The 12271-nt window shown below is 34.0% G+C and overlaps 1 long non-coding RNA gene across 2 annotated transcripts in view; it reads right to left on the bottom strand.

The window, feature by feature from the left end:
- The window catches only part of LOC105379144 (uncharacterized), a 142695-nt gene that overhangs the window by 74675 nt on the left and 55749 nt on the right, over positions 1-12271 (bottom strand). Inside the window, exon 1 of one of the 2 annotated variants that reach the window (XR_948707.2) lies at positions 3256-3333. The exons of the other annotated variant lie outside the window; for it this stretch is intronic. This is a non-coding gene — a long non-coding RNA (uncharacterized LOC105379144). Of the gene's footprint in view, positions 1-3255; positions 3334-12271 lie in introns of those variants that run through there. 2 annotated transcript variants of the gene reach the window in all.

Raw genomic sequence — 12271 nt, 5'->3', positions numbered from 1 at the left:
TAAGAGAAATATGAAGATTAATTTAAACAAACATTGAATGTAAATACTGTTATGTGGGGTTAAAAACAAATGGGATAGAAATAAATGTCACGTAAGAGTGGAGAAGTGTTATGACTGTTAACAGATTCTAAGACCTTCAAATTATTCAAGAAGAATGTAAAATTGTTAACTGACTTTTGATTTTCAAATAAAATGTCAGCCTTAAATAATGAAAATTAGAAAATATGATTAATTATAGAGTTTATTAGATTACAAAATGTGATCATGGCTACCTGGATAACATAGACTCCAAACGAATGTAGTCAGTGCTCCTAAGGAGGGAAGTTAAGGCTTCGCTTATATAAGCAAAGAGAGAGAAACTTAACAGGGTTGCAGCATTTTCCACACAAGGCCAATACATACATTACAGCAATTTGATCAGTTACAGTTTGTTACATTCCAAGGAAGATTGCTTTAACATTCCATAAGGAGGGGTAGTGGACTCAAGGGGGCTCTTACCCCTGGCACAGTTCAGTCTTTCCTAATCATCCACAGTACAAGAATAAGAAAGGGAATTAATCTATAATTGTAGAAGCAGAAGCTGGAGCTTATGCTATGTGACTCAGGCCACATAGTCACATTTTTCTCAAGGCTCAATAGTTTAAAGTTCCAACAGCTTTAGGCTTAAAGTATTTAATTTCACAAAGAATGGATATTAAAATGTCTAGGTTAACTATAAATAAAAAGCCCATTGAGAATATAGCTTCTATAAGAACAGAGGTTTGAAAGTTTAAAACAAACACACACATACAAACAAAAGACAAAAAGAAAAATAGAAAAGCAAATTTAGTAAAGGTAGAATGAATAGAAAGTATGAAATAAGATGATAGAAACAAATAAAAAATAAGAGTGATAATAATAAATGTAAGTAAAGACAAGTTTACCTGACTGAAGTAAATATATACCTATGCAAAAATAGCAACCAAAAAAAATTCTGATGATTGCCTTCTATTTAAATATAAAAATAAAGAAAAATACAGGATATATATTGGGAAATTGCTACTCAAAATCAACCATGTATGCCATTATTAATATAAGAATATATAGACTTTAAGTCAAAAAGCATCTGTAAAGAAAATATAGGTCAGGAAGATTTACCATTTCTAAACTTGGATACATCCAAATTAGCTCCAAAATATATGAATCAAACTGAGAAATACTTTTTAAAAAGGAATTGAAAAATCACCCAATGTGCTTAGATTTTCATATACATTTTTCTTTAACTTTTATAGATCTAGAACAATACAAAATCAGTAATTAGAGGACAAACAACTTGATGTAAATGTGAAGTAATGGCATATAACAAATGGAAAATACCCATTATTTTCAAGGATGCATAGAGTATTATGAAAACTGACCACTGAGTCATGAAGCAAGTCTCAAGAAATTGGAAAGATTTGTATCATAAAGACAATTTGTTGTTGTTGTTTTCTGTTCATAAGAAAATCAATTTAAAAATCAAAATTTCAAAGATAACACTCTTTTTAAAATTTACGAATCACAGAAAAATGATAATTAAAAATTCTAAATATTTTAGAAGTGAGTTATAATAAAAATAGTACGTAAAAAATTCATGGAATACAGCTATCACAGATATTTGTAAAAAATGTATATTTCAAATGCTTGTAATAGGAAATAAGAGACATTCAAAATTACACATTAGGCATTTAAGTTAAGAGATTAACACACAACAAAGAATAGACCTCCCCCCAAAAAGAAATGAAATGATAAACATAAGAAATGTATAACTAGTCTTTTGAGCTGTATAATAAATTTAATTAACTGATGCCTAAACTTACCATAGTAAAAAAAGACAAGGCACAAACGAACAGTATTAGAAATAAAAAAGAAAACTATACATAAAAATCAGTGCAGCAGATATTAAGCAGATAAGAGGATATGATTACTTTATGTCCATAAACACAAAAATTTAGATGAAATAACAAGTTTGTCAAAGATAAAGAGAAGCCACAAAAATCCTATAAACATTAAGAAATAATGAACTAGTGGTTTAATTTTTTCCCAGACAATTTTACTGGTGAATGCAAGCCAAAACCAAATAATGGCAGTTTTATACACACTATGACAATGTATAGAAATAAAGCAAGCAGTCTCCAGCTCATTGTAAGGAGCAAGTATAACCTTGAGAACAAAGCTTAATAAAGAGAACATAAAAAGAAAATTACAAAGAACAATCACTCAGGAACACTGATGCAAAAATTCTAAAAATATAATAACAAACCTAATTTAGCAATGAATGAAAAAGATACTATATTGTGAACTAATTGGGATTTTCCCAAGAATGCAAAATTGGTTTAACATTAAGCAAGCAATTAATGTAATTTGCCAGTTTACAAGATTAAAAGTAGAAAAATAGTAATTAATTCTATAGATAACAAAATATAATTAACATTATGATAAAAAAGAAAGCTTGCTTAAAGAATATCTATAAAAACCTACAGCAACACAATGTTGAACTATTTAAATTGTTTCTTTTAACATCAAAAACAATATTTATGCACTATCACTACTTTTATGTGACTGTTCTTAGCAATGCATTAAGATCAAACATTTAAAATCATTAAGATTGTTAAAAGACATTTAAAAAACAAAAAAGGATGAAATAAATGATAGTTATTCACATATAATATTTTTCTATGGAGAAACCCAAAGAATGTATGAATAAACTTTTAGAATAAGCAACTACAATGTTGTAGGAATTAAAATACAAAAGACTTTTAACACATTAGTGACACTCATTTAGATCATAATTAAAAATGTTATTGTGAAAGTCAGCATTTAGTACTCTACTATCCCTTTCCCAAATTTGTTTTAAAAATAAATAAAAATAAAAAAGAGAGTAGCCAAAAGCTGAGAGATCCTAGAGGGATTTGACCTTTGAAGAAAGTGAAGCATCCTGAGTGAAATGAATGATTACATGGCTTTAATTTGAAATACATTCAGCAGTGCTCATGATGCAGAAGTTAGAATTGAGCTTGAGGTGCTAGAAGATGAATCCCAGACTGAAAATTGATGAGAAGAACATTCAAAAGGAGGTAAGCACAGCAGAGAACTAAGTCTACATATAACTCAATTCAAATCTTGACTAATTCCCAGGATTACATCTCCACATGGAAGATTGAAAGAAGATTGCGTGGGTAACATCAACTAAACATCAGCTAAAAGAATTCAGTGTCGGTTCCAGATGTTACTCACCACAAGGGAGACAGGGTTTGGAGTTACCCAACTTAGAGGGGCTTGGTAAACACTTCCACTTTCCTGGAGACTTTCCCTAGAAAATCAATGTGTGATCTATCGTTAAGAAAAAAATCAATAAGAAGGGAATATGAGATGACACAGATAATGAAATTATCAGGGAAAAATTTCAAAACATCAAAAATTCTATATGTTCAAAGGCTTACAGGAAAAGTATAGTAATAAAGATTAACATATCAGAAATCTCAGCAGAGAAATGGAAATTATGAAAATAAGCAAAATAAAAATTCTAGAAATCACAAGTACTGTATTGAGGATGTAAATTTTGCTAAAGAAGTTTAACACAAGATTATGTAGGGCAATAGAAAACATCAATAAATTTGAAGTTCAAGCAACTGAAGTTATCCAATTTGAAGGAAAGAGACAAAAAGTATTGAAATAAACAGAATTTCAGTGAACTCTGGAACAATATTAAAGTCTAGTATGTGCATGACGGAAATGCCGAAAGGAGGTGAGAGAGAGAATGAGGCAGAAAAGGTATTTGAAGAAAATATAAACACATGAATGGAAGAAGCTTAGCAATAAGACAAGTACAGAGAAACACATACCTAGGGATATCATAGTCAAATGCTGAAAACCAAAGAAGAGAAATCTTAAAAACAAACAGCAAGAAAAAAAAACCCACACACCCACTACTAGGGACTCAATGATATAAATGATGACTGGCATCTCATCAAAAAATAATGAAGGACCAAATACAATGGAATAATACCTTTAATATGCTAAAAGAAAAAAAACTGTCAGCCCATAACACTATCTTTCAAGAAGTACAAAACAAAGACATTTTTAAATAAACTAAGGCTAAGATAATTCATCATCAGCCAGCCTGCACTACAAAAAATAGTAAATAAACTCATCTAAAGCACATGAGTCTAGATAAAGTAGGCTTCAAGACGAGGAGTATTACTAGAGATAAAGAGGGAAATTTCTTAATAGGCAATATTAATTCTTAATAGTAACATTTCTATATGTATATGAACTTAATGAGTGAGCTTCAAAATACTCAAAGAAACATCTTCCAGAACTAAAGGAAGAAATAGGGAAATCCATAAAGTTGAATATTTTAACACCTATCTCTTTTTAATTGATAGAAGAACAAAAACTCAATAAGGATTTATATGATTTGAACAATAGTGACCAACTGCAACATATATTCAAGAAAAATAGAAGAGTGTACAGAGAGAAGGAAACTGTCAAAGAAATAGTTTAAATAAATTGCCCAGAATTTAAAAACTTGTTTCTAAGTTGATGGGCATTTGTACAGCACAACAAATGGGAAAAGACCCACACTAACTCATGTTATCATGAAATTTCAAACCTCTGGTAAAACAAAACAAAACAAAAAAAAACAAAATGACATGTTTCTAAAAGCTCTCAAGCTCTCAGAAACAAAACAAAGAACAAACAAAAATAAATACCATACCATGAATCAGAAATCTATTTGAATTCATAGTTTCAGACATGATGGAGTAAGTGAAATTAGACTTACCATCCTGCTATAAACAACTACAAAACTGAACAAAGTATATGAAGTATCTATATTCAGACATTAGGCAATGGTAATATGAAGCTATAATCCTTGAGAGAAAAGAAAAACATGAGGCAAAAGCCGCATTCTTCCTGGGGGCACTTTTCAAACCATGGCACAGAGAAGTGGAGCCTAAACAAAGCAGTAATCTTTCTGGGAAAAGATATTGGAATTTATGAGTGTTGTATTAATTTTCTATTGCTGCTGTAACAAATTCACACAAGTTTAGTGGCTTAAAACAATACACATTTATTGTATCACAGTTTCCATGAATCAGAAATCTGGGTACTGCATGAATCAGCCAATTCTCCACTTACGGTCTCATAAGACCAAAACCAAAGTGTTGGCAGGGCAACGTTACTTTCTGTAGGCTCTAGGAAGAATCCACTTCCAAACCCATTCAGGTTTTTGGTAAAATTTAGTTCCTTGAGATTAAAGAGCTAAGGTCTCTGTTTCCTTGCTGGCTGTCAGCTAGGAGCTTCTTTCATCTCAAGGCCACAAGCATTCCTTATCATATTGCCTTTCCATCTTCAAAGCTTGCAAGGGCATGTCAAGTACTTCTCACATTCAAATCTCTCTGATTTCCCCTTCTGTTACATCTTTCTGATTAAGTGGAGAAAGTGCTATGTTTTTAAGGGCTTGTATGATTAGATTGGATACACCTGTACAATGCAAGATCATCTCCCTATGTAAACTCTGCCACCTTAATTATATTTGCAGACTATCTTTTGCCACGTAACGTCATATATTCACAGGTTCCAAACATTAGGGCATGTACCTCTTTTGCGGAGTATCCTCATGCCTATAGCTTCTGAAGTAGCTAAAATTTGAAGAGCTGGGCACCAGAAAGGAAGGAGAAATTCAAAGAAGGAGCACCCCAGGAAACTGCTTAGGTTTCCCCTTGAATCACTGACCAAAAAAGTTAGCTTCTCATGTTTAGGAAAAGACTTTGCAAGGTATGACAGAGAGCACCTGCTAAGAAACTGTGAGCTGAATGGAGATTACTGATATTGCAAGATGTGTGTAGAACTCACTGAAAATGTACCTCCTTATTCTGTCAGGCTTTGCCACAGGGGTTCTCATTGTGTGTGGCATGGTCCCTCTCACTTCAGGACCTTCATGCATATTGTTCTCTCAAGCTAAAATCCTCTTCATGTTCTTTTGTCCAAATAATCCCTATTCATTCTTCAAGTATTTGGGAAAAAAAAAAAAAATGACAGTACCCCCACCTCAAAGATGTCCATGTCCTTCCTAATCCCTAGAAGCTGTGAATATGTTATGTTACACAGCAAAAGGAATGAAGGTTGCTAATCAGCTGACATTAAGATAAGGAGTTTATCCTGGATTATACAGGCGAGCCCAGTGTAATCACCAGGATCCTATAAATGTAAAACAGAAAGGCGGAAGAGACAGAGTCAGAGTGATGCAGTGTGAGACAGACTCAAGCAGCCACTGCTGTCTTTGAAGACAGAAGGGGAAAAGGAGCCAAGGAATCACAAGAACTCTCTAGACACTAGGAAAGGCAAGAAAATGCATTCTCTTCCCTAGAGCCTTCAGAAATGAATGCAGCTCTGCTGATACTTTGATTTTAGCCCCCTAAGCCCTATTTTGAACACTCTGACCTCCAGAACTATAAGATTAACAGATTTATTTTGTTTTAAGACACTGAGTTTGTGGGAATTTGTCACAGCAGCAATAGGAAACTAATACAAGTATCAAACTACTACTCAAACGAGCTCTCCCTGGAAATCCAGATCAGGTCATAATCCACTCCTCTATGTTTCCATGGGACGTTTATAGTACTCATTTCTCATTGCATTCATAATTTCTTGTTCAGTAGCTCTATACACCAATAAACTATATGCCTGTCGTGTTTATCACTCTATCCTTAGTACTTGTTCCTAAACCTGGATGATACATAGCGCTTAAAACATATCATTGAATGAATAAATAAATACATTTAAATTATGACAAACTTATCTTCTTCCAATCACCATATGGTAAGATACTTACAAAAGAAATGATTTTAAGTTACTGTTGAGCTTTTACAAATTGAAATAAAAAAGAACACCTAAAAAAATATACACAGCATCTGCAACCTTTGAGTAAAAATCTGTTGTGTTTTATTTCATGTACTGCTGAAAGCTTTATGTTGTTTGAAAAATAAATGGAGCTTTTTTTTTTTTTGAAAGTCTGAGTGAGTGTGATGAGAGAGTTTGGAATCACAGACTTTAGATCCCATCTTAAAAATGAATAGCTGGACATTCACTTCACACATTCTTCTGGATCTTGTTAAAAGGTGATATATGTAAGCACCATATTGGCACAAAACAATCTCCGTTATTCTTCAACCTAACCAACAGAAAGGTATCACTGTCTTAGAATATCTAAGCCAGTGGTTCTTATGCCTGATTATATACTGATTTATATTAAAAGAGGCAAAAGAAGTCTGGGGAAGGAGGCAGGAAATTCAAAAAGAAGAAATGGTAAGGCAATTTAAATTGTTCGGCTAGAGTGCAGTGGCGCGATCTGGGCTCACTGCAACCTCCGCCTCCCGGAGGCGGAGCTATTCTCCTGCCTCAGCCTCCCAAGTAGCTGGGATTACAGACACACGCCACCATGCCCTGCCAATTTTTGTATTTTTAGTAGAGATGGGGTTTCACCATGTTGGCCAGGATGGTCTTGATCTCGACTTCGTTATCTGCCTGCCTCGGCCTCCCAAAGTGCTGGGATTACAGGCTTGAGCCACCACACCCAGCCGGCTAGCACAGGTTATATATGTTCAATATTAAAATATATACACTATATATGTGCAAAATATAATGTAAATATATATTACCTACAAACATCTTCAAACAAGACCGCTGAACTATACCTCATTTTAATTGAAAGAAAGGCAAGAGTTCTGCTAAGTCTAAAAAGTTTCTACGTGGTCTTGAGCAAACTCATAAGATGTCCATTAGCTTCAGTAACTGTTCCTCAAAGCAGCCTAAATTTTGTACCTCAAAGTGGGCCTTGACAAGTGCATGTCTGTCTGCTTCTATCGCATAAGCTTATTGAGGGGCATTTGCCATTAAGGGGAACTAGGGGCCATTTTGGGCTCTTGAGCAAAAAAATTCTTGAGGGACATGCTTTCCTCAAGAAGCTCCTGTGGAAAAATTCCATGGAATTTAACATCATAGCTGTAAGCTTAAGTCACACTTTATATCAGAACCACAAAAGACACTGTTTCTCAAATAAAACATATTTCAGAAATGGGTTCACTACTTTTTTGTAAAGAGACCAGAATCTATACTCGTAATGCTGATTCCCAGACCACCTCAGCAGTGATGGACTTCTATTGTATGTTTTTTAAAGAGGTAGTCAGCAATTCCTCAACTCTTGCCTCCCCAGTTGCCTCCTCCCTCCCTACTTCAACAACACTATACACACGTGTGTGTGCACACACACACATACACACACACCCCCTATCATACACAGAAGACAAAATTGTTTTCTGGGGTTTTGTTAAATATATTTATGCATGTGTGCACATGGTTTGTACTAAATAGTCAATAACTGTTTCAGGTGTGTACTCTTGGTTATTGCATAGGCTCTATGCACATAGACTCATATACACAGTCATATATGACTTACATGTATCTTTGCCTAATCTGTAGGTGGTCCCATAGCTCACAGGAAAGTCCTGCAGTTAGCAAGTTCAGACATACGGGATCATTTATATTTGTTCATTTGTTTTCACATATATCTTCAAAGCTGTCTAACATATTCCCAGTTTCCTTCTCCCTTCAGGACACTATCAGTTATATTCAGAGAAACATGTGTGTACTAGAAAACTGAAGCCTTATAATCAGTTTTCAGTCTCCTTTTCAATTTGAGGCATGTTTCTGTATCTGGCAAAATTTTGTCACAAACTCTAAGATTCAGTTATCTAGTTTTATTAGGATAGAAATCCCTCCCTGTTTTTCAGATTTTATATTTAAGAGCTGGGTTTCAGGGAAGGGAGGTAATTAACTCTACATGCACTCTTACCCCTAAGACGGTCAAATAAAAAGGGACATTTTAAGTATTTATGGATTCCAATGTAATATGCAATCATGATATGTCCCTGAGGGCACAGTCTTGTTAAAAAGAAAATATGATAACAAAGCCATCTTAAGGATCTAATATAAGAGATGTTTGCAGTCAGAATATCATCATTTCCCTTCTTTCTAGCACAGAATTGGAGGATTTTGGTAGCCTATTTGTGTGACTACTCAAATATGTCAAAAGCTGTGGTTTTGAGACCAATAAATAGCGACTATAGGTCTGCATGGGGACCCTTTATCAAGACTTAAAGGTGTTTCCCCCACCCCGCCAACAGTCTTATAAATGGGATTCTATTATTTTCACAACCAAATATCTGACTGTACTGTGTGAATAAACACTGAGTACTTGAGAACATTAAAGGGAGAGTGGCTTAAATATGATGTTGAGTGATCAGAAAATGCTACAGGGCGAGAAAAAGACATAAAGCTGACCCTAAAGCAGGGAATAATTTATGTATATAAAGGATAGGAGGGAAAGAGACTTCTGTGGATTAAACAACACACGAAAATACGTAGAGGCAAAATGTTAATGGCATGTGAAGGGAATAGCAAAGTGTGACACAATTTCATCAGCAGTTGTTGGGAGAACTAATGGATAAGATAAACACAAAATGACAAACCCATTATGTGACACCAAAGACTATGAGCCATTTAGAGTCTTTGGCAGGAAAAACCTTGAGGAAGTTGCTTCAGATTAGTAGAGACTGCAAAGATATATTAGTGATAAAGAGGCAGGAACCAGGAGAGATGTTAAGAGACAAACTAGATAACAGTGACAGCAAGCCACTGAGGCTTTGATTGATTCATTGTAGTCTATCAAAGAAACCCTGAATATGCTGAATGTAGTTATTTTGCAAATTTGACAGAAAACATCAGCTCTGAAATCTTTTCTCAAGTAAATCTTTTTTAAAATAAAAATTGACTTTATCTTTCAATTAAGATGGTCACTACCTCCTTGGTTGTACCACAAGCTCAAGGCCAAATAGAAGGTGATAATGATAGATTCCTACAGTGGCCATGTGGTAGTGAAGGTACAGATCTTTAATATGAAGATTTCAGAGAACTGAGAGGCCTTGGTTTGGAAACACTTTCGATGCTCTACAATCCAGGTTCTCAAGTCTACCAAACTTTTTGAGCAATGATAATCAGATTTCTCTGCCACTGAACATAGATAAGTCTTGAATATTTTTCTAAAAGACACTGGAATCCAAGGCATCGAGAGTCAACTCAAGTTATCAGAAGGATCAGAAAAGGAATGTCTTGGAAATATATGAGAAATCTTATGAAAATCTAAAAATAGCAATAAGGCATTGCCAATCCACAAGGAGTCAACAAGTTATTTTATTTCCTCCAGGGTTATTGAGTCTTCATCTCTGCTTCTCTCTGACCAGTTGTCCTGTCATCTCACTCTTGTACACCTATTTATATATTTCCTTGGGGTGTCACTGCTCCTCTCTGCTACAATAAGATACATGACTTTAGTTTTCCGTTGTGCTGAACCTGGTCCTAAACTTACATGACCTTTCATTTCCAGTGCCTATTACCTTCCATTCATTTTCTTTTTATATCACTTAAAATATTTTTAAAATGATGACTGTAAATAATTTATTCTTGTTGAAAAAGAGATCATATAGCGTGCACACATCTAAGGAAAAAAGTACCAAGTCACCTGAAATGCTGAGGTGACTCACATTATTTTGATAACAATATTAGTTTGCTAGGACTGCCATAACAAAATACTGCAAATCAGGTGGCTTAACCAACATCAACTTATTTCTCACAGTTCTGGAGGCTGGAAGTCTAAGATCAAGGGGTCCAGAGGTTTGGCTTCTCCTGAGGCCTTTCTCCTTGACTTGCATGGCCACCTTCTCTCTGTATCATCACGTGGTCTTTTCCCTGTACACACATATTCCTGGTGTCTCTCTTCTTACTAGTCATATTGGATTCAGGCCTTACCCTGTGACCTTATTTCACCTTAGTAACCTTTTTAAAGATTCTATTTTCAGCCACAGTCACATCAAGGATTAGGGCTTCATTGTATGAATTTTGGGAGTATAAAATTCAGTCCATAACAGTGACAATAATTTTAAAACTCTCCCCCTTTTCACATGTATATACACATTTACACACATATGGTTATACTTTTGCATTTTCATACATTGAATTGTATATAATGTACTTTTTTTAATTTTTGAAGTTTCTATGTCTTATAGTCTTATTTTTGGCCTCTCCCTTCTTTTCTTTGCCTGACCAACACATATTGATAACTAATGCTAATAATTCTATGTGTTTATTTTCATATTTTACAAGCATATCTAATAAAATCAAAGGGCTTTTTGACATTGCTTACTTTTCCGCAACTTGCACTTCCTACATAACAAAGCATGGTAAAAGTTTATCCTAGTCTACAAGTAAAACTCTAACCCACTCCTTCTAATGGATGCCTAACATTCTGTGTAATTGAGGTACTGCAATTTATTTAGTCATCTCCTCCTTAATTGGCATTAATTTCATTTTTAATTAGTTGCTATCACCAGCTACATAGCACTAGACACATCTTTAAATGGTAGAGAGATAACTTATTTAGGATAGATTCCCAAGGGTTGTATCACTGGGTTGAAGATTAGGTATATATTTAAGTTTTACAGATCCTGCTGAATTGCTTGTTTAAAGTCTATAACAATTCATGTTTCTACAATTATGTGAGTGTACACTTCCCCTAACATTTACACCAGCAGAAAGAATTATCACTAATTTTACTATCTGCCAATCTGAAGGAGATGAAAACAAGAGCTCACTGTTACTTTAATTTTCATTTCCCTGAACACAGTGAGACTGAGTATAAATTTACTGGTAATTTTCTTTTGTATGAATTGTGTTTTTATATTTATTTTCCATTTTCCATGGTATCATTAATGCTTTTTTATCATTTTGTAGGAACAGTTTGTATTTTATGGCTATTGTTCATTTACCATTTATATGTATGCAAATGTATCTCCCAATCTATTCTTAAAATTTTGTTTATTCGGTAGAAATGCTTGCAGTTTCCTTTGTCTAAATTTGTTATATGCCTGGTTTTTGAAAAAGAAATGCTTTAAATAAATGAATATAAAAAACCTCAAGGTACTTTTATGATTATAGAAGCTATTTGTCGCTTACAGTTCACCAATATTATCAATATTATCTAGCAACTTTGAATGATCAAAAATGAATTTTAACAATTTCCTTTAATGTTTTCCAATAACACTACTATATTTCTTTTTAAAATTTTAGACACATCAAAAGTTTATGTTTATCAGCTCTGATCTGTAAAAGACATTAATTTATTCCTTCCCACGGA

The sequence above is a fragment of the Homo sapiens genome, chromosome 5 (genome assembly GCF_000001405.40).
Source record: "Homo sapiens chromosome 5, GRCh38.p14 Primary Assembly".
Taxonomy (NCBI): Eukaryota; Metazoa; Chordata; class Mammalia; order Primates; family Hominidae; genus Homo; species Homo sapiens.
This window is presented reverse-complemented; position numbering and strand designations above follow the sequence as displayed.